Source organism: Homo sapiens, chromosome X (assembly GCF_000001405.40).
Source record: "Homo sapiens chromosome X, GRCh38.p14 Primary Assembly".
Taxonomy (NCBI): Eukaryota; Metazoa; Chordata; class Mammalia; order Primates; family Hominidae; genus Homo; species Homo sapiens.
In genome coordinates this window covers 75,450,271-75,473,668 of record NC_000023.11, presented here as the reverse complement: position 1 = coordinate 75,473,668, position 23,398 = coordinate 75,450,271, and the positions used below count along the sequence as shown (strand labels likewise).

Sequence of the window (23,398 nt, the reverse complement as noted above, 5' to 3'; positions counted from 1 at the left end):
TGCATATTCTTTCTTACCTCCGTTGTGGAGTAATAAATTGATTTCATCTTGATAGTCTGGGTCAGTCACCCCAGGGAACACTATAACTCCATTCTTAGCTTGTTGACTTAAAGGTAGGAGGAGCCCAAACTGTCCAGGTGGCAATCTTAACTTCCAGTTTAATGGAATCGTTGTGTCTCCTGGTGGCAATGTTCCTCCATCTGGAACAAAGACCTCTGGGCAAGCAGAACATAATGTTGTGGGAACAGGAAGCAAAAATTTTGCTAGTGGATCACTAGGGGTGATAGTGAGTAGTGCCACTTCCACTTCCACCACTTGATTTCTAGACACATGAATCCTGCCTATGCAAGAAAGAGTACCATATATTGGATGCTGATTGAAAGCATACACGGCCTTCTGGAGAACTATGCCCCAGCTCTGCAAAGTATTGTCACCTAGTTGACATGTAATTGTGATTTCAAAAGGCTATTCCACTGTTCTATCAATCCAGCTGCTTCGGGATGATAGGGAACATGGGAATTCCATGAGCATGAGCCCACTGCCTCACGTCTTTAGCCGTAAAGTGAGTGCATTGGTTAGAGGCAGTGCTGTGTGGATTACCGTGATGGTGGATAAGGGATTCCATGAGTCCATGTATTGTATTGACAGAAGCATTGTGTGCAGGATAGGTAAACCTGTATTCGGAGTCAGTATCTATTCCAGTGAGGAAAAACCTCTGCCCATTCCTAATAAATGAAGTCCAGTATAATCAACCTGCCACCAGGTAGCTGGCTGATCACCCCAAGAAATGGTGCCAGTTTGAATGCTGAGTGTTGGTCTCTGCTGCTGGCAAAATTGGGCACTCAGCAGTGGCCATAGCCAGGTCGACCGTGGTGAGTGGAGGTCCATATCACTGAGCCCATGCATAACCTCCATCCTTGCCACCACAGCCACTTTGTTCATGGGCCCATTGGGCGATGACAGGGGTGGCTGGGGAAAGAGGCTGAGTGATGTCCACAGAACAGGTCGTCCTATCCACTTGATTATTAAAATCCTCCTCTGCTGAAGTCACCCGTTGGTCACCACTCACATGGGATACAAATATCTTCACAGTTTATGACCACTCAGAGAGGTCCATCCACATACCTCTTCCCCAAATTTCTTTGTCACCAATTTTCCAATCATGCTTCTTCCAAATCCCTAACCATCCAGCCAAACCATTGGCTACAGCCCATGAATCAGTATATAATTGCACATCTGGCCATTTCTTCCTCCATGCAAAGTGCACAACCAGGTGTGGTGCTCAAAGTTCTGCCCCATGGGAAGATTTCTTTACACCGCTGTCCTTCCAGGATGTCCTAGAAAGGGGCTGTAGTGCTGCAGCTGTCCACTTTTGGGTGGTGCCTGCATTTCGTGTAGAACCATCTGTGAACCAGGCCCTAGTAATCTCTTCCTCTGTCAATTGATCATAGTGAACCCCCCATGAGGCCATCAGTGCAGGCTGGGGGAGAGAAGGCAAGGTGGCAGGAGTGGAGACCATGGGCATTTGAGCTACTTTGTCATGTAACTTGTGCCTTCAGGACCTGCTCGAGCATGATCACGTATATACCACTTCATTTGATGATCGAATACTGATGTGCACAACCAACTTTATGGCTAGATGGGTCACAGAGTGCCCAGTTCATGATAGATAGTTCAGGTCACGTGGTGACTTTATGACCCATAGTCAATCGTTCAGTTTCCACCAAAGCCCAGTAATAGGCCAAGAGCTGTCTCTCAAAAGGAGAGTAGTTATCTGCAGAAGATGGCAGGGCCTTGCTCCAAAATCCTAGAGACCTCTGCTGTGATTCACCTGTGGGAGCCTGCCAAAGGCTCCAAACAGCATCCCTATCTGCCACTGACAACTCAAGCACTGTTGGATCTGCTGGGTCATATAGCCCAAGTGGCAGAGTAGCTTGCACAGCAGCCTGGACCTGTTGAAGAGCCTTCTCCTGTTCTGGACCCAACTCAAAACTGGCAGCCTTTTCGGTCACTCGATAAATGGGCCAGAGTAACATGCTCAAATGAGGAATGTGTTGCATCTAAAATCCAAATAGGCCCACTAGGCATTGTGCTAATTTCTTGGTTGTAGGAGGGGCCAAATGCAGCAACTTATCCTTCACCTCAGAAGGAATATTTTGACGGCCTCACACCACTGGAACCCTGGAAATTTTACTGAAGTAGAAGGTCCCTGAATTTTAGTCAGATTTATTTCCCATCCTCTGGCATGCAATTGTCTCACCAATAAGTCCAGTGTATTTGCTACTTCTTACACACTGGATCCAATCAGCATAATGTCATCAATGTAATGGACCAGTGTGATATCTTGCAGAAGCGAAAAACGATCAAGGTCTCTCCCAATAAGATAATGTCACAAAGACAGAGAGTTGATATACTCCTAAGGTAGGACAATAAAGGTATATTACTGGCCTTGCCAGCTGAAGGCAAATTGCTTCTGGTGGGCCTTATGGACAGGAATGGAGAAAAAGGCATTTACTAAGTCAATGTCTGCATACCAGGTACCAGGAGATGTGTTAATTTGCTCAAGCCATGAAACCACATCTGTTATAGCAGCTGCAATTGGAGTCATCGTGAAGCTTACGATAATCCACTGTAATTCTCCAAAATCCATCTGTTTTCTGTTCAGGCCAAATTGGAGAGTTGAAGGAGGATGTAGTGGGAATCACCACCGCTGCATCTGTCAAGTCTGTGATGGTGGCACTAATCACAATCCCTCCAGGGATGTGATACTGTTTTTGATTTATTGTGTTTCTAGGTAGAGGCAGCTCTAATGGCTTCCATTTGGTCTTTCCCACCATAATAACCCTCACCCTATCAGTCAGGGAGCCATTGTGGGGATTCTGCCAGCTGCTAAGTATGTCTATGCCAATTATGCATTCTGGCACTGGGGAAATGACCACAAGATGAGTCCGGGGACCCACTGGACACCAGACACTGTAAATCAGACCTGAGCTAAAACTCCATTAATTACCTGACCTCCATAAGCACCTACTTTAACTGGAGGACCGTAATGACATTTTTGCTTGCCTGGAATCATCAGCTCAGAGCCAGTGTCCAGTAGTTCCCAAAATGTCTGATCATTTCCCTTTCCCCAGTGCAGTTACCCTGGTAAAAGGCCACATGTTTCTTTGGGGAAGGATGGGAGAAAGATTATGTTCCTTGGTTCTCCACATATGGTCAAAGGTATTATGTATAGAGTCACTAAACTCCTCGCCTCTCACAAGCCATGAAACTCCAGGAGTTTGTTAAGTATTAACTCCCACAATCACAAGGGCCCACAATAGACCATCTGCAAGCTGAGGAGCAAGGAAAGCCAGTCCGAGTCCCAAAACTGAAGAACTTGGAGTCCAATGTTCGAGGGCAGGAAGGCTCCAGCTTGGCAGAAAGATGTAGCCTTGGAGGCTAGGCAGTCTAGTCTTTTCGCGTTTTCCTGCCTGCTTTATATTCGCTGGTAGCTGATTAGATGGTGCTTACTCAGATTAAGGGTGGGTCTGCCTTCCCCATCCCACTGAGTCAAATGTTAATCTCCTTTGGCAGCAGCCTTGCAGACACACCCAGGATCCTTTGCATCCCTCAGTCCAATCAAGGTGACACTCAATATTAACCATCACAAAGAAGCACATGAAAAGATGCTGAATATCGTTAATCATTAGATTAATGCAAATCAAAACAATGAGATACCACCTCACACCCTTTATTAAAATCTTTTTTAAAAGGCTTACTATAAAAAAAACTGTAAAACAGCAAGTGTTGGTGAAGATGTAAAGAAATTGGAACATTTGAAGGCTGTTGGTGGGAATGGTAAAATGGTGTAACTGCTATGGAAAACAGTATAATGGTTCCTCAAATAGTTGAAAATAGCACCACCACAGGGTCTAGCAATTCCACTTTTGGGTTTATACCCAAAAGAGTTGACAGCAAGGTCTCAAAGAGATGGCTGTATATCTATGTTTATAGTGTTATTCACAATAGCCAAAAGGTGGAAGCAACCCAAATGAACTGGTAAGTAAAATCAAGTATATACATACAATGGAATATTATTCAGCTTTTGGAAAGAGAGGGAAATTCTGACACATGCTACCACATGGACGAAACTTCAGGACATCGTACTAAGTGAAATAAACCAGTAACAAAAGGCTAATATGTATGATTCTACTTATATGAGGTACCTAAAGTAGACGAATTCACAGAGAAAAAGTAGAATGGTCTTTGCTAAGACTGGGAGGAGAGGGAAATGTGGAGTTATTTAATTAGTATAGAATATCAGTTTGGGAAGATGAATAAAGTTCTGGAGATGGATGGTAGTGATGGTGGAACAGTAATGTGAATGTACTTAATACCACTGAACTATATAATTTAAAATGGTTAAATTTCATTACACATATTTATCACATTATTTTAAAAAGGACCAAATGCTTAAATGTAAGGCCTAAACTTACAAAACTCTTTGAGTAAAACTTAGGGGAAAATCTTTATTATCTTGGATTTGGCAATGAATTCTTTGATATGACACCAAAAGCACAAGTAATAAAAGAAAAAGTGGATAAATTTGACTTCATCAAAGTTAAAAAAAAAAGCCTTTTGTACATCAAACAACACTATCAAGAAAGTGAGATGATCATCCAAAGAATGGGAGAAAATATTTGCAAGTCATGTATCTGATGTGTCAAGTGTTCAGAATATATCAAGAATTTCTACAAATAAACAACAAGAAAACAAACAACCAAATTTAAAACTGGTGAAAGGATTTGAATAGACATGTCTCCAAAGAATATATACAAATAGCCAAAAAGCACAGAAAAGATGCTTGACATCATTAGTTACTAGAGAATTGCAAACAAGACCATGATAGATACCTACTAGGATAGCCAAATTAAATAAATGAATGAATGAAAAATAATAACTCTTGGAGAGGATGTGAAGAAATCAGAATCTTCATACATTGCTACTAGGAATGTAAAATGGTATGACTGATGTGAAAACAGCTGTGCAAATTTTCATGAAGTTAAATATATAATTACCATGTGACCCAGAAATCCCACTCCTAGATACATACCCAAAATAATTGAAAACAGGTGTTCAAACAAGTACTTATACATAACTATTCATAGCAGCACTATTCACTATAGCCAAAAGGTAGAAACAGTCCAAATTTTCATCAGTGAATAAATGGATAATGAAGGTGTTGTATGTCCATATGCTGGCTGGAATTTTATTCAGCCATGAAAAGGAATGTAGTACTGATACATGGTACAACACGGATGAACCTTGAAAACATTATGCCAGGGCTGGGCTCGTGGCTCATGCCTGTAATCCCAGCACTTTGAGAGGCCGAGGCAGGCGGATCACCTGAGGTCGGGAGTTCGAGACTAGCCTGACCAACTTGGAGAAACCCCGTTTCTACTAAAAATACAAAATTAGCCGGGCATGGTGGTGCATGCCTGTAATCCCAGTTACTCGGGAGGCGGAGGCAGGAGAGTCGCTTGAACCCAGGAGGCAGAGGTTGTGGTGACCCGAGATTGTGCTATTGCACTCCAGCCTAGGCAACAAAGAGCAAAACTCTGTCTAAAAAAAAAAAAAAAAAAAAATTATGCCAGTTGAAAGACACCAGACACTGAAGGCCACATAGTTTTGATTACATTTATGTGAAATATCCAGAAAGGCAAATCCATAGAGACAGAATTCAAATTAATAGTTCCCAGGCTCTGGGGATAGAGAGAAATGGAGAATAACTGTTATTAGGTATGGTGTTTCCTTTTGGGGAGATGAAACTCTTCTGGAACTAGATAGCGGTAATGGTTGCACAACACTCTGTACTAAATGCTACTGAATTGTACACTATAAAATGGACACTTTAAATGGAATTTATGTTATGTGAATTTTGCCTAAATAAAAATGACTGTCGTCATCACCTTATGAAGCTTGTAGGCCAGTAGAAAGTCTGATTGTTTGGGAATTTCATAGCCCTAACCTGGGTGAGATGATGACAGAATTTAGACATCCACTACAAATATCTAACACTTAAGACCACATCTTTATTATTTTTAACGTGTAAAAAGAAAAGGAGAGTACATTGGGCCAATTTAATAGCCACAGTATTACATTCTTTAATACCCAAGTACATCCCAATCTATCATCAATTGCCTCATCCAAAATGCATTTACTGGCTCACTGTATTATAAGTTTTCAATAAGGCTTGTTAGTGCCAGAATTAGGGCATCCAGGCCTGACATCTTATTCCAAACAAAAGCCAGTTTGTTAAGTAGACATGAGATATTTATCACATACAAATAGAAAATCCTCTTCCTGTGCCTTTCAAGTAGGTGCAGTGTACTATAAGGAAGTTATATTCCCAAGGACATCCCAGAAATTAAAGTGCCACCACAAGGTGCTACTTTTAATTATAATGTTAAAAAGAATTTTTAAAACCTTATAATTTTGTCTTAACTGGTATAACTGTTCTTCTAAGTAAACAAAATAACCAGTTGTTTTTCATATTACTTTGCAGTATTTAGTTCATTTAGCTACTGTTTTATAATATCAATTTATTGACTTTTGTTTTTTTCTTTGTCTTAAACTTTTATTTTAAGTTCAGGGGTACATGTGCAGGATATGCAGATTTGTTATACAGGTAAATGTTTGCCATGGTGCTTTGCTGCACAGATAATCCCATCACCTAGGTGTGAATCCCAGCATCCATTAGCTCCTCTTCCTGATGCTGTCCCTCCCCCCACCCCTAACAGGCCCCAGTGTGTGTTGTTCCTCTTCCTGTGTCCATGTGTTCACATTGTTCAGCTCCCACTTATAAGTTAGAACGTATGGTGTTTGGTTATCTGTTCCTGTGTTAGTTTGCTGAAGATAATGGCTTCCAACTCCACCCATGTCCCTGTAAAGGACATGATCTCCTTCCATTTTATGGCTACATAATATTCCATGGTGTATATGTACCACATTTTCTCTATCCAGTCTATCATTGATGGACATTTAGGTTGATTTCATGTCTTTGCTATTGAGAATAGTGCTGCAATGAACATATGCATGCATGTATCTTTATTTATTTATTTATTTATTTTTAAAGAAAAGAGGTTTAATTGACTCACAGTTACACATGGCTGGGCAGGCCTCAGGAAACTTACAATTAATGCATGTATCTTTAAACTCAAATAATTTATATTTCTTTGGGTATATACCAAGTAATGGGATTGCTGGGTCAAATGGTATTTCTGGCTCTAGGTCTTCAAGGAATTGCCACACTATCTTCCACAATGATTGAACTAATTTACACTCCCACCAACAGTGTAAAGGCATTCTTTTATCTGCAACCTTGTCAGCATCTGTTGCTTTTGACTTTTTAGTAATAGCCATTCTGACTGGCGTGAGATAGTATCTCTTTGTGGCTTTGATTTGTGTTTAATAATCAGTGATGTTGAGCTTTTTTTACATGTTTGTTTTGGCCACATCTATGTCTTCTTTTGAGAAGTGTTTGTTCATGTCGTTTGCCCACTTTTTACTGGGGTTGTTTGTTTTTTTCTTAGAAATTTAAGTTCCTTGTGTAATAGACTCTGGATATTAGACTTTTGTTAGATGGAGAGATTGTAAAACTTTCCTCCCATTCTTTAGGTTGTGTGTTCACTCTGATGATGGTTTCTTTTGCTGTGCAGGAACTCTTTAATTACATCCCATTTGTCAATTTTTTCTTTTGATGCAATTGCTTTTGGTGTTTTCATCATGAAATATTTGCCTGTGCCTATGTCCTGAATAGTATTGCCTGGATTTTCTTCTAGGGTTTTTACAGTTTCAGGTTTTATACTTAAGTCTTTTAATCCATCTTGAGTTAACTTTTATATAAGGTGTAAGGAAGGGGGCCAGTTACAATTTTCTGCATATGGCTAGGCAGCACTCCCAGCATCATTTACAAAATAGGGAATCCTTTCCCCATTGCTAGTTTTTGTCAGGTTTGTCAAAGATCACATGTTTTTGGCGTGTGGTCTTATTTCTGGGTTCTGTTTTCTGTTCCATTGGTCTATGTGTCTGTTCTTCTGCCCATACCATACTGTTTTGGTTACTGTAGCCTTGTAGTATAGCTTGAAGTCTGTAGCATGGTGCCTTTAGCTTTTTTCTTAGGATTGTCTTGGCTATTCAGGCTCTTTTTTGGTTCCATACGAATTTTTAAATAGCTTTTTCTAATTCTCTGAAGAATGCCAGTGATAGTTTAATGGGAATAGCATTCAATCCATAAATTACTTTGGGCAGTTTGGCCATTTTCCCGATATTGATTCTTCCTATCTCATGAGCATGGAATGTTTTTACATTTGTTTGTGTCCTCTCTGATTTTGTTGAGCAGTGGTTTGTAGTTCTCCTTGAAGAAGTCTTTCACTTCTCTTGTTAGCTGTATTCCTAGGTATTTTATTCTTTTTGTGACAATTGTGAATGGGATTTCATTTATAATTTGGTTCTCTGCTTACCAGTTGTTGATGTATAGGAAGGCTAGCGATTTTTGCACATTAATTTTGTATCCTGAGACCTTGCTGAAGTTGCTTATTAGCTTCAGAAGCTTTTGAGCTGAGACAATAGGGTTTTCTACATATAGGATCATGTCATGTGCAAACAAGGATAGTTTGACTTCCTTTATTCCTATTTGAATGCCCTTTATTTCTTTCTCTTGGCTGATTGCCCTGGCCAGAACTTCCAATAATATGTTGAATAGGAGTGGTGAGAGAGGGCATCCTTATCTTGTGCCAGTTTTCAAGGGAAATGCTTCCAGGTTTGCCCACTTAGTATGATATTACCTGTGGCTTTGTGATAAATGGCTCTTATTATTTTGAGGTATGTTCCTTCAATACCTGGTTTATTGAGAGTTTTAAACATGAAGAGATGTTCAATTTTATCACAGGCCTGCATCTATTGAGATAATGATGTGGTTTTTGTCTTTAGTTCTGTTTATATGATAAATCACATTTATTGGTTTGCATATGTTGAATGAACCTTGTATCTGGGGATGAAGCCACCTTGATTGTTGTGAATAGCTTTTTGATATGCTGCTGGATTCATTATGCCAGTATTTTATTGAGGATTTTTACATCAATGTTTATCAAGGATATTGACCTGATGTTTTCTTTTTTTGTTTTAACAAGCAGGAGGTAGCAGTTTTTATTTTTATTTTTTGTGAGTTTATTTTTTATTTTATTTTATTTTATTATACTTTAAGTTCTAGGGTACATGTGCACAACGTGCAGGTTTGTTACATATGTATACATGTGCCATGTTGGTGTGCTGCACCCATTAACTCGTCATTTACATTAGGTATATCTCCTAATGCTTTCCCTCCTCCCTTCCCCTACCGCACAACAGGCCCCGGTGTGTGACGTTCCCCTTCCTCTGTCCAAGTATACTCATTGTTCAATTCCCACCTATGAGTGAGAATATGCGGTGTTTGGTGTTTTCTCCTTGTGACAGTTTGCCGAGAATGATGGTTTCCAGCTTCATCCGTGTCCCTGCAAAGGACATGAACTCATCCTTTTATATGGCTGCATAGTATTCCATGGTGTATATGTGCCACATTTCCTTAATCCAGTCTATCATTGTTGGACATTTGGGTTGGTTCCAAGTCTTTGCTTTTGTGAATAGTGCCGCAATAAACATACGCGTGCGTGTGTCTTTATAGCAGCATGATTTATAATCCTTTGGGTATATACCCAGTAATGGGATGGCTGGGTCAAATGGTATTTCTAGTTCTAGATCCTTGAGGAATGGCCACACTGTCTTCCATAATGGTTGAACTAGTTTACAGTCCCACCATCAGTGTAAAATTTTTCCTATTTCTCCACATCCCTCCTGTTGTTTCCTGACTTTTTAATGATTGCCATTCTAACTGGTGTGAGATGGTATTTCATTGTGGTTTTGATTTGCATTTCTCTGATGGCCAGTGATGATGAGCATTTTTTCATGTGTCTGTTGGCTGCATAAATGTCTTCTTTTGAGAAGTGTCTGTTCATATCCTTCGCCCACCTTTTGATGGGTTTTTTGTTGTTGTTGTTGTTGTTGTTGTTGTTGTAAATTTGAGTTCTTTATAGATTCTGGATATTAGCCCTTTGTCAGATGAGTAGGTTGCAAAAATTTTCTCCCATTCTGTAGGTTGCCTGTTCACTCTGATGGTAGTTTCTTTTGCTGTGCAGAATTTGTTGTATCTCTTCCAGGTTTTGGTATCAAGATGAAGTTAGCCTCACAGAATGAGTTGGGGAAGAGTCTCTCCTTTTCAATTTTTTGGAATAGTTTCAGTAGAAATGATACCAGCTTTTCTTTGTAACTCTGGTAGAATTCAGCTGTGAATTCATCTGGTCCTGGGCTTTTTTTGATTGGTAGGCTGTTTATTACTGCCTCAAATTCAGAACTCATTATTGGTCTATTCAAGGATTTAATTTCTTCCTTGTTCAGTCTTGGGAGGGTGTATGTACCCCGGAATTTATTCTAAATTTTCTCATTTATGTACATAGAGGTTTTATAGTATTCTCTGATGGTTGTTTGTATTTCTGTGGGATCAGTGGTGATATCCCCTGATCATTTCTGATTGTGTTTATTTGATTCTTCTCTCTTTCCTTCTTTATTAGTCTGGCTAGTGGTCTATCTATTTGATTAATTTAAAAAACCCTGGATTTGTTGATTTTTTTTGAAGAGTTTTTTCATGTCTCTGTCTCCTTCAGTTCAGCTCTGATCTTGGCTATTTCTCGTCTTCTGCTAGCTTTGGTGTTTCTTTGCTCTTGGTTCTCTAGTTCTTTTAGTTGTGATATTAGGGTGTCAATTTGAGATCTTTCTAGCTTTTTGGTGTGGGGATTTAGTGCTATAAATTTCCCTCTTAACACTATTTTAGCTGTGTCCCAGAGATTCTGGTACATTGTCTTTTGGTTCTCATTCGTTTCAAAGAACTTGTTGATTTCTGTCTTAATGTCATTATTTGCCCAAGAGTCATTCAAGAGCAGGTTATCCAATTTCCATGTAGTGGTGTGGTTTTGAGTTAATTTCTTAATCTTGAGCTCTAATTTATTATGCTTTGGTCTGAGAGACTGTTATGATTTCAGTTCTTATGCATTTGCTGAGGAGTGTTTTACTTCCGTTTATATGCTCAATTTTAGAGTAAGTGCCATGTGGCAATGAGATGAGTGTTTATTCTGTTGTTTATGGCTGAAGAGTTCTGTAGATATCTATCAGGTCCTCTTGATCCAGAGATGTGTTCGGGTTCTGCATATCCTTGTTAATTTTCTGTGTTGATGATCTGACTAATACTGTCAGTGGAGTGTTAAAGTCTTTCACTATTACTGTGTTAGAATATAAGTCTTTTTGTAGATCTCTAAGAACTTGCATTATGAATATGGGTGCTCCTGAATTTGGTGCATATATATTTAGAAAGCTCTTCTTGTTGAATTGAACCTTTTTCCATTATGTAATATCCTTCTTTGTCTTTTTTTATTTTTGTTGGTTTAAAGTCAGTTTTGTTAGAAACTAGGATTGTAACCTCTACTTTTTTCTGTTTTTCATTTGTTTGATAAATTTTCCTCCATCCCTTTATTTTGAGCCTATGTGTGTCTTTGCACTTGAGATGGTCTCTTGAAGACAGCATACCAATGGGTCTTGGCTCTTTGTCCAGATTTATAGTCTGTGTCTTTTAATTGAGACATTTAGCCCATTTACATTTAAGGTTAATATTGTTATGTGTGAGTTTGATCCTGTCATCATGATGCTAGCTGGCTATTTTGCAGACTTGTTTATGTGGTCATTCCATAGTGTCACTGGTCTGTGTACTTCAGTGTGTTTTTGTAGTGACTTGTAACAGTCTTCCCTTTCCATATTTAGTGCTTCCTTCAGGAGGTCTTGCAAGGCAGGCCTGGTGGCAATTAATTCCCTCAGTATTTTCTTGTCTGAAAAGGATCTTATTTCTCCTTCAGTTAGGAAGCTTAGTTTGGTAGGTGTCAAATACTGGGCTGAAAATTATTTTCTTTAAAAATGTTGAATATTGGCCCCAATCTCTTCTGGCTTTTAGGGTTTCCACTGGGAGATCTGCTGTTAGTCTGATCTACTTTCCTTTGTAGGTAATGTGGCCTTTTGCTCTGGCTGCCCTGAATATTTTCTTTATTTCAACCTTGGAGAATCTGATGATTATGTGTCTTGGAATTGATTTTCTCATGGAGTATCTTACTGGGGTTCTCTGCATTTCCTGAATTTGAATGTTGGCCTGTCTTGCTAGGCTGGAGAAGTTCTCCTGGATGATATCCTGAAATATATTTTCCAGCTTGGTTCAATTCACGCCATCTCTTTCAGGTACCCCAATCAGTTGTAGGTTTGCTCTCTTTATATAATTCCATATTTCTCAGATTTTATTCATTCCATTTTATTCCTTATTCTCTATTCTTGTCTGTCTTATTTCAGAAAGATAGTCTTCAAGCTCTGAGATTCCTTCCTCTGCTTTATTTATTCTGCTATTGATACTTGTGATTGCATAGTAAAGTTGTCATATTGTGTTTTCTAGCTCCGTCATGTCGGTTATATTCCTCCCTAAAGTGGCTATTCTGGCTATCAGCTCCTGTATTGTTTTATCATGATTCTTAGCCTCTTTGCATTGGGTTACAACATGCTCCTTTAGCTCAGTGAAGTTTGTTATTACCCACCTTCTGAAGCCTACTTCTGTCAATTCAGGCATCTTAACCTCAGCCCAGTTCTGTGCCCTTGCTCTAGAGGTGTTGCATTCATTTGAAGGAATAGAGACACTCTGGCGTTTTGTTTTCAGCCTTTTTGTGTTGATTATTTCTCATATTTGTGGGCTTATCTATCTTCAATGTTTGAGGTTGCTGACCTTTGAATAAGTTTTTTGTGGGGTCTTTTCTGTTGATGTTGTTGTTTTCTGTTTGTTTTTCTTTTAACAGTCAGGTCACTCTCCTATAGGGCTGCTGTGGTTTGCTGCAGGTCTACTCCAGACCCTACTTGCCTCATTTTTTTTTTCATACCTGGATGTATCACCAGTGAAGGCTGTGAAACAACAAAGATGGCAGCCTTCTCTTTCCTCTGGAACCTCCATCCCAGGGGGGTAATGACCTGTTTCTGGCCCAAATGCACCTATAGGAGGTATCTCGAGACCCCTGTTGGGAAGTTTCACCCAGTCAGGAGGAGTGGAAACAGGGACCCACTTAAAGAAGCAGTCTGGCTGCTTTTTGGTAGAGCAGGTTTGCTCTACTGGAGGGAACCCATCCTTGTCCAGAAAATTTGGACTCTGCAAAGCCAGCAGACTGGAATGGCTGAATCAACTGCACCACAGAGATAACAGCCACCCCTCCCCCTGGAAGCTCCATCCCAGGGAAAGTTCAGAGCTCTGTCCCTATAAGCCTAGGTGGAGTGGCTGAAGACCCCACAGGGAGGTCCTGCCCAGTGAGGAGAAATGGGTTGGGGTCCCACTTAAAGAAGCAGTCTGGCCAGTCGTGGTGGCTCACGCCTGTAATCCCATCACTTCAGGAGGCCAAGGCAGGCAGATCACCTGAGGTCGGGAGTTCAAGACCAGCCTGACCAACATGGAGAAACCCCATCTCTACTAAAAATACAAAATTAGCCAGGTATCGTGGCCCATGCCTGTAATCCCAGCTATTTGGGAGGCTGAGGCAGGAAAATCGCTTGAACCTGGGAGGCAGAGGTTGCAGTGAACTGAGATTGTGCCATTGCACTCCAGCCTGGGCAATAAGAGTGAAACTCCATCTCAAAAAAACAAACAAACAAAAAAGCAGCAGTCTGGCCATGATCTGCCAAAGCAGCTGTCCTTCATTGTGTTGTATATATTTAGCGTAAATAGATAAGTCCAAAATTTTCCAAACTGACCCTTCCTCATCGGGACAATTTTCACTCTCTAAAACTGGAGGCTGAAATGGCTGAGTTCGCTGAACTGCAGATATGGTGGCTGCCCCATCCCCCAGGAGCTCTGTCCCAGGGAGAAATCAGAGCTCTCTCTGTATTACCCTGGCTGGAGTGGCTGAAGTCCCCACAGACAGGCTCCACCCAGTGAGGAGGAATGGATTGGGGTCCTGCTTATAGAAGCAGCCTGGCCACAACCTGGCAAAGTAGGTACGCTTCACTGTTGGGGGGTCCTTCCTCCTCTGGGCCATTTGCACTCTCCAAAGCTGGCAGGCTGGAATGGCTGAGCTGACTGAATCACAGAGAAGGCAGCCACCCCTCCCCACAGGAACTTTATCTCATCTCAGGCAGACTTCAGCCTGTTGCAGTTGGCTGGCTAGAATTACAAGCCAGTGGGTCTTAGCTTGTACAGTGCTATGGAAGTGGAGCCTGCAGAATGACACTGCTTGACTCCCTAGATTTAGCCCTCTTCTTAGGTGTATGTACAAATGGATCTCCCACCTTGCTGGGGCTACTGGGGCTGGAGTATGTAAAACTCCTGGGTCTCTGTGTGTGGCTGAGCAGCTGCTCTGCCATGACTCCACACAGCTTTGTGTATCGGACCCAAGGCCCTGGTGGCATGGGATCACCAGAGGATCTCCTTATCGGTGGGTTGCAGTGATCTGTGGGAGAAGAGTGATTTCCTGAGCAGGGTGGCACAATCATTCACCAATTCCCTTGGCTGGGGGTTGTTTTTTTTTTTTTTTTTTTTGTCTCTGTGCCACTCCTGGGAGGGCTATTTCCCCACCCTGCTTTTCTTCATTCTCTATGGGTCTAGTTGTTTGCCTAGTCAGTCCGAATGCGAGAACCTGTATATTTTAGTTGAAGGTGCTGAACTCACTCACTACTTTCATTCCTCTCCATGAGTGCCACGGACTGCTGCTTCTAATCAGCCATCTAGGCCCCTCCCATACCACCTATTGACCTTTGGTTGGGAAAAACAGTATGAATTTGTTCAGTTCATTGGAGAATCTTTAGCACCCTAGGCTAAGGATTAATTGCCTATGGTACACCACATTCATTGTAATAGCCAAAAATGCCCCTACATAGTTCCACATACCCCAAGCAGGGTACTTAATTCTCACTCTACCTGAGAATGACAGTACCATAAAAACGCACCACTAGGTGTGGTTCTTAAAACACAGTGTTTGATTTTATATGTTTTCAATTTTTTAAGTTAGATATATTTAAATTATCTCAAATATTTTATTATTTGTTCTGCTAATTTTATTGAAGTATAACATACAGACTCTACTCCCAGAATTAAGTTTTAAAGAGAATAATTTGATGAATGTTTCCCCATATATTATACCTAAGTAATCAGTATCCAGGTTAAAATTTTAAACATTCTAGTATCTCATAAATCTTCATGCCTCTTTTCAATCAACCTCCTCTTAGAGGTAACTACTACGCTAACTTCTATCACCATAGATTGGTTTTGCCTGTTTTTGAAGTCCATAAAAAAGGAATCCTAGTTGGTACTATTCTATGTGTACCTTTCACTCAACACAGTGTTTTTCAAATTTATCCATGTTGATGCATTTTTCAGTAGTTAATTTCCTTTGATTGCTGTTAGTTATTCCCTTTTATCACACTTGGTTTAACCATTCAGCCATTGAAGTATACTTGTTTCCATTGTTTTGTGTGTTATGAATAAAGCTCCAATGAACATTCTTGTACATGTCTTTTGGCATATAAATATAGTTGTTCCTCAGTACCCACAGGGGATTGATTTCAGGACCTCCCATAGATACCAAAATCACAGATGCTCAGGTTCCTTACATGAAATGGCATGGTATTTGCATATAACCCATTCACACCCTCCTACATATTTTAAATCATCTCTAGATTATTTACAATACTAATACACTATAAATGCTATGTAAATAGTTTTTGTATTGTTTGTTATTTGTATTATTTTTCTTGTATTGTTAATTTTAAAAATATTTTTTAATCCAGTTGGTTGAATGCATGAATGTGGAACCATACATAGGGAAGGCTGACTCTGTGTATCAGAGACTCTGTGTGTGTGTGTGTGTGTGTGTGTGTGTGTGTGTGAGTGTAAATAAAACTTTAATACATGCTCACACATATACACCCAGATACTCATTTTTCTTGTGTATATAAGTAGGAATAAAATTGCTGGGGTCATAAGACAGGCATATATTTAGCATAAATAGATAATGACAAAATTTTCCAAACTGATTATATAAATCTGCACTCCCACCATGATCTTCTGTACATCAAAATCCACCATAAAGGAAGTAAAAGGGAAAGCCACAGACTGGTAGAAAATATTCAACCAAAGACTAGTATCCAAAATATATAAAGAATTTCTACAAATTAATACCAAAGAAAGACAAACAACCCAATTCTTTTTTTAATGGACCAAAGACTTGAAAAGCTATTTCACAAGAGGATATCCAAATGGCCAATAAACTCATGAAAAGGTGCTCAATATCATTAGTAATGAAAGGAGTACAAAATAAAATCACAATAAGATGCCACTACAAATGATATGGTTTGCAAGAATAGACTAATGCAACACACCAACTAGAAGAGTTAAAATTAAAAACATTGGCAATATCAAATATTTTTTAGATTTTTTCTAAATATCAGTTTTTTAATGTTATACATGTTTATTATTTTAGCTAACATTTGTTGAGTACTTACACTGTGCCAAACACCACAGCTAAATGCTTTACATTTAACAGTAATTATGGGGATGATATTATTATCTCTATTTCTTGGATGAGGAAATTAAAGCTTGGAGAAATTAAGCAAGAAGCTCCAAGTCACAGAATTTAAATGGCACTTAAGTGGTTGGGACTTGAACCTGGATCTGTCTAAATTTACAGTATGTGGCCTTGACAGGGGAGACACCCGTTGCTGTTATGTTTGGTAAGTGCTGGACCCAACTGCTCTCAGAGAGGAAACGTTGTCATAGAGCAGCGTTGCTCAGAGGATTCTGCCAGTAGTTGTCTCTAAAAACAGTCTCTTTATACCCAGTAACGGGATTGCTGGGTCAAATGATATTTCTGATTCTAGATCCTTGAGGAATCCCCGCACTGTCTTCCACAGTGGTTGGACTAATTTACACTCCCACCAACAGTATAAAAACATTCCTCTTTCTCCACATCCTTGACAGCATCTGTTGTTTCCAGACTTTTTAATTATTGCCATTCTTTTTTGTTTTTGATTATTATACTTTAAGTTCTAGGGTACATTTTCACAACGTGCAGGTTTGTTACATATGTATATATGTGCCATGTTGGTGTGCTGTGCCCATCAACTTGACACTTACATTAGGTATTTCTCCTAATGCTATCCCTCCCCCAGCCCCCCACCCCATGACAGGCCCTGGTATATGATGTACCCCGCCCTGTGTCCAAGTGTTCTCATTGTTCAATTCTCACCTGTGAGTGAGAACATGTGGTGTTTGGTTTGCTGTCCTTGTGATAGTTTGCTCAGAATGATGGTTTCCAGCTTCATCGATGTTGCTACAAAGGACATGAACTCATCCTTTTTTATGGCTGCATAGTATTCCATGGTGTATATGTGCCACATTTTCTTAATCCAGTCTATCATTGATGGACATTTGGGTTGGTTCCAAGTCTTTGCTATTGTGAATAGTGCCACAATAAACATACATGTGTGTGTGTCTTTCTAGTAGCATGATTTATAAACCTTTGGGTATATACCCAGTAATGGGATGGCTGGGTCAAATGCTATTTCTAATTCTAGATCCTTGAGGAATCGCTACACTGTCTTCCAAAATGGTTGAACTAGTTTACACTCCCACCAATGGTGTAAAAGCATTCATATTTCTCCACATCCTCTCCAGCAACTGTTGTTTCTATGATCGCCATTCTAACTGGCATGAGATGGTATCTCATTGTGGTTTTGATTTCCATTTCTCTGATGACCAGTGATGATGAGCATTTTTTCATGTGTCTTTGGCTGCATAAATGTCTTCTTTTGAAAAGTGTCTGTTCATATCCTTTGCCCACTTTTTTATGAAATTGTTTGATTTTTTCTTGTAAATTTGAGTTCTTTGTAGATTCTGGATATTAGCCCATTGTCAGATAAGTAGATTGCAAAAATTTTCTCCCATTCTGTAGGTTGCCTGTTCACTCTGATGGTAGTTTCTTTTGTCTGCAGAAGCTCTTTAGTTTAATTACATCCCATTTGTCTATTTTGGCTTTTGTTTCCATTGCTTTTGGTGTTTTAGTCACGAAGTCCTTGCCCATGCCTACGTCCTGGATGGTATTGCCTAGGTTTTCTTCTAGGGTTTTTATGGTTTTAGGTCTAACATTTAAGTCTTTAATCCATCTTGAATTAATTTTTGTACAAGGTGTAAGGAAGGGATCCAGTTTCAGCTTTCTACATATGGCTAGCTAGTTTTCCCAGCACCATTTATTAAATAGGGAATCCTTTCCCCATTTCTTGTTTTTGTCAGGTTTGTCAAAGATCAGATGGTTATACATGTGTGGTGTTATTTCTGAGGCCTCTGTTCTGTTCCATTGGGCTATATCTCTGTTTTGGTACCAGTACCATGCAGTTTTGGTTGCTGTAGCCTTGTAGTATAGTTTGAAGTCAGGTAGCATGATGCCTCCAGCTTTGTTCTTTTGGCTTAGGATTGTCTTGGCAATTCGGGCTCTTTTTTGATTCCATATGAACTTTAAAGTAGTTTTTTCCAATTTTGTGAAGAAAGTCATTGGTAGCTTGATGGGGATGACATTGAATCTATAAATTACCTTGGGCAGTATGGCCATTTTCAGGATATTGATTCTTCCTATCCATGAGCATGGAATGTTCTTCCATTTGTTTGTGTCCTCTTTTATTTAATTGAGCAGTGGTTTGTAGTTCTCCTTAAAGAGGTCCTTCACATCCCTTGTAAGTTGGATTCCTAGGTATTTTTTCATTTTTATTTTTTATTATTATACTTTAAGTTCTAGGGTACATGTGCACAATGTGCAGGTTTGTTACATATGTAAACATGTGCCATGTTGGTGTGCTCCACCCGTTAACTTGTCCCAAATCAAAACCACAATGAGATACCATCTCACACCAGTTAGAATGGCAATCATTAAAAAGTCAGGAAACAACAGGTGCTGGAGAGGATGTGGAGAAATAGGAATGCTTTTACACTGTTGGTGGGACTGTAAACTAGTTCAACCATTGTGGAAGACAGTGTGGCAATTCCTCAAGGATCTAGAAATAGAAATACCATTTGACCTAGCCATCCCATTACTTGGCATATACCCAAAGGATTATAAATCATGCTGCTATAAAGACACATGCAAATGTATGTTTATTGCAGCACCATTCACAATAGCAAAGACTTGGAACCAACCCTAATGTCCATCATTGATAGACTGGATTAAGATTCCTAGGTATTTTATTCTCTTTGTAGCAATTGTGAATGGGAGTTCACTCATGATTTGGCTGTTTGTCTGTTATTGGTGTATAAGAATGCTTGTGATTTTGCACATTGATTTTGTATCCTGAGACTTTGCTGAAGTTGCTTATCAGCTTAAGGAGATTTTGGGCTGAGACGATGGGGTTTTCTAAATATACAATCATGTCATCTGCAAACAGGGACAATTTGACTTCCTCTTTTCCTATTTGAATACTCTTTATTTCGTTCTCTTGCCTGATTTCCCTGGCCAGAACTTCCAATATGATGTTGAATAGGAGTGGTGAGAGAGGGCATCCCTGTCTTGTGCCAGTTTTCAAAGGGAGTGCTTCCAGTTTTTGCCCATTCAGTATGATACTGGCTGTGGGTTTGTCATAAATAGCTCTTATTATTTTGAGACACGTTCCATCAATACCTAATTTATTGAGAGTTTTTAGCATGAATGGCTGTGGAATTTTGTCAAAGGCCTTTGCTGCATCTATTGAGATAATCATGTGGTTTTTGTCTTTGGTTCTGTTTATTTGATGGATTACGTTTATTGATTTTCATATGTTGAACTAGGCCTTGCATCCCAGGAATGAAGCCAATTTGATCTTGGTGGATAGCTTTTTGATGTGCTGCTGGATTCGGTTTGTCAGTATTTTATTGAGGATTTTCACATCGATATTCATCTGGGATATTGGTCTAAAAGTCTCTTTTTTTTGTTGTGTCACTGCCAGCCTTTGGTGTTAGGATGATGCTGGCCTCATAAAATGAGTTAGGGAGGATTCCCTCTTTTTCTATCAATTGAAATAGTTTCAGGATTGGTACCAGCTCCTCTTTGTACCTCTGGTAGAACTTGGCTGTGAATCCATCTGGTCCTGGACTTTTTTTGTTTGGTAGGCTATTAATTATTGTCTCAATTTCAGCTCCTGTTATTGGTCTATTCAGAGATTCAGCTTCTTCCTGGTTTAGTCTTGGGAGGGTATATGTGTCCAGGAATTTATTCATTTCTTCTAGATTTTCTAGTTTATTTGTGTAGAGGTGTTTATAGTATTCTCTGATGGTAGTTTGTATTTCTGTGGGATCGGTGGTGATATCCCCTTTATCATTTTTTATTGTGTCTATTTGATTCTTGTCTCTTTTCTTTATTAGTCTTGCTAGCAGTCTAGCAGTCTATCACTTTTGTTGATCTTTTCAAAAAAACCAGCTCCTGGATTCATTGATTTTTTGAAGGGTTTTTTGTGTCTCTATCTCCTTCAGTTCTGCTCTGATCTTAGTTATTTCTTGACTTCCGCTAGCTTTTGAATTTGTTTGCTCTTGTTTCTCTAGTTCTTTTAATTGCAATATGAGGGTGTTGATTTTAGATCTTTCCTGCTTTCTCTTGTGGGCATTTAAGTGCTATAAATTTCCATCTACACACTGCTTTAAATGTGTCCCAGAGATTCTAGTATGTTGTGTCTTTGTTCTCATTGGTTTCAAAGAACATCTTTATTTCTGCCTCCATTTCATTATCCAGTAGTCATTCAGGAGCAGGTTGTTCAGTTTCCATGTAGTTGTGCGGTTTTGACTGAGTTTCTTAATCCTGAGTTCTAATTTGATTGAACTGTGGTCAGAGAGACAGTTTGTTATGATTTCTGTTCTTTTACATTTGAGGAGTGCTTTACTTCCAACTATGTGGTCAATTTTGGAATAAGTGCGATGTGGTGCTGAGAAGAATGTATATTCTGTGGATTTGGGGTGGAGAGTTCTGTGGATGTCTATTAGGTCTGCTTGGTGCAGAGCTGAGTTCAAGTCCTGTATATCCTTGTTAACCTTCTGTCTCATTGATCTGTCTAATATTGACAGTGGGGTGTTAAAATCTCCCATTATTATTGTGTGGAGTCTAAGTCTCTTTTTAGGTCTGTTAGGACTTGTTTTATGAATCTGGGTGCTCCTGTATTGGTTGCATATATATTTAGATTAGTTAGCTCTTCTTGTTGAATTGATCCCTTTACCATTATGTAATGGCCTTCTTTGTCTCTTTTGATCTTTGTTGGTTTAAAGTCTATTTTTTCAGAGACTAGGATTGCAACCCCTGCTTTTTTTTTTTTTTTTCGCTTTCTATTTGCTTGGTAGATCTTCCTCCATCCCTTTATTTTGAGCCTATGTGTGTCTCTGCACGTGAGATGGGTCTCCTGAATACAGCACTCTGATGGGTCTTGACTCTTCATCCAATTTGCCAGTCTGTGTTTTTAATTAGGGCATTTAGCCCGTTAACTTTCAAGGTTAATATTGTTATGTGTGAATTTGATCCTGTCATTATGATGTTAGCTGGTTATTTTGCCCATTAATTGATGCAGTTTCTTCCTAGCATCGATGGTCTTTACAATTTGGCATGTTTTTGCAGTGGCTGGTACCAGTTGTTTCTTTCCATGTTTAGTGGTTCCTTCAGGAGCTCTTTTAGGGCAGGCCTGGTGGTGACAAAATCTCTTAGCAGCAACATCAAATATTTTTAAACAATTCAAAAATTAGACTTCTAAAGGAGATTTTTATTTACCTGTTATTATCTGGCACTTCTGCACCAATATTATGAAGTAGGTATTATTTCTTCTATTTTACATGTGAAGAAACAGGTTGAGAATGTCTGATTTTGCAAAGTGATTTTCTATTAAGTAATAGAGATGAGACTTAAACCTAGAAATTCTGACCACAGATCCTTTTTTTCAACTCAGTCTACCCTTCGGCACAGATAGAATAAATGCTTTCAGGTTCATATTACTTTTGAAGATCAATGGCATATCTTTTGCAAGATTAGCAAAATGTGGCACTATTGTGGCAACAAGCTCCATACGAGACTAAAAAAGTATTCAATAGTGAGAATATCTAAATTTCCCCTTATTTACAAGATTAGAATATGCAGACAATGTTACAAGCAGTCTCATCCAGCTTCTCCAAGGGTGTTATCAGTGTTACCTGTGAAAACTCTTGCAACTTGGTAAGCATGGTTAATTATCAACAGGGCCCTGGCAAAAATGTGTTACACATCTGTATGCAACATCATATTATGAATCAATGGAAAGGGACAAGTCTTGAAATCAGATGAATTGAGTTTGAGGTCCAGCATTGCCACTTGTTAGTTGATTGAGTCCAACTTTAGGCAAGTTACTGAATCTCTCTGTTTTATTTTCTTTATTAAAAAATACACATATCTCATGCTTTTGATAATTGAGATAAAAGCCAGATTATTGAAGTAATTATCCAGAGAACATTATAAGACTAAGTGGTACCTGAGCTTCAAGGGTAGGTAACAAATAATTTCATTAAAGTAGTTATTGTTGTTGGTTTTAATCTTTTCTATTAACTTTAGATAATAAAGTCTTACCTTTCACTCCTGCTTCCAGTTCCACTTGTCCTACACAGACAAGGAGCGCTATGAAAATGAAGAAAGACCTGAGGTCCAGAAGCAGATGCTTGTTGATATGGCCAAAAAGCTACCGGTTTACACAAGAACTGGAAGTGGAGGTCAGTTCATCCAAAGGCAGCTAGAGAGGCAGCTCAGCAAGTATCTCAGAAAGGCTAAGTCATATATGTTCTCAAACTAGCCCTTTTTTTTCCTCCCATCTTCTGAAAACCACTATGGAGATTTTTCTCCACATTTTATTTCTAAAAAATTTTAAACACATATCAAAGCTGGAAGAATTGTATAGTAAACAAACTGTATACCCCAAACTGGATTCTTCTGCTAACATTTTTCTGTGTTGCTATATCACATATCTATCCACATATGCATACCTCTATTTATCTTTCGTCAAGCCATCTTATGTTTCTGATGCATTTCAAAGTAAATAGCTGACATCAGTAAGACATCTACCTAAATATTTTATTCTGTTTTGTTAAAATTTACATACAAAAACATGCATAATCTTAAGGGTACCATTCCATGTATTTTGAAAAGTGTACACATCTGTGTAACTAAACCCCCAATAAAATTGCCATCACCTCAGAAAGTTCTGTCATGCCTCATTTCCAGTCAATCCGACCCCACCCCACTTC

At 39.2% G+C, this 23,398-nt stretch overlaps 1 protein-coding gene across 14 annotated transcripts in view; it reads left to right on the top strand.

Moving 5' to 3' along the window:
- ZDHHC15 (zDHHC palmitoyltransferase 15) overlaps positions 1-23,398 on the top strand; it is a 154,611-nt gene that overhangs the window by 49,369 nt on the left and 81,844 nt on the right. For 12 of the 14 annotated variants that reach the window (XR_001755658.3, XR_938393.3, XR_007068181.1 and 9 more), the window contains one exon: positions 22,747-22,867. The exons of 1 other annotated variant lie outside the window; for it this stretch is intronic. Coding sequence is in view for 10 of the 13 variants with exons in the window: in NM_001146256.2 (NP_001139728.1) it covers positions 22,747-22,867 (121 nt within the window). In the remaining 3 variants the exon portion in view is untranslated. Of the gene's footprint in view, positions 1-22,746; positions 23,353-23,398 lie in introns of those variants that run through there. One more of the 14 variants, NM_001146257.2, reaches the window with a different exon arrangement.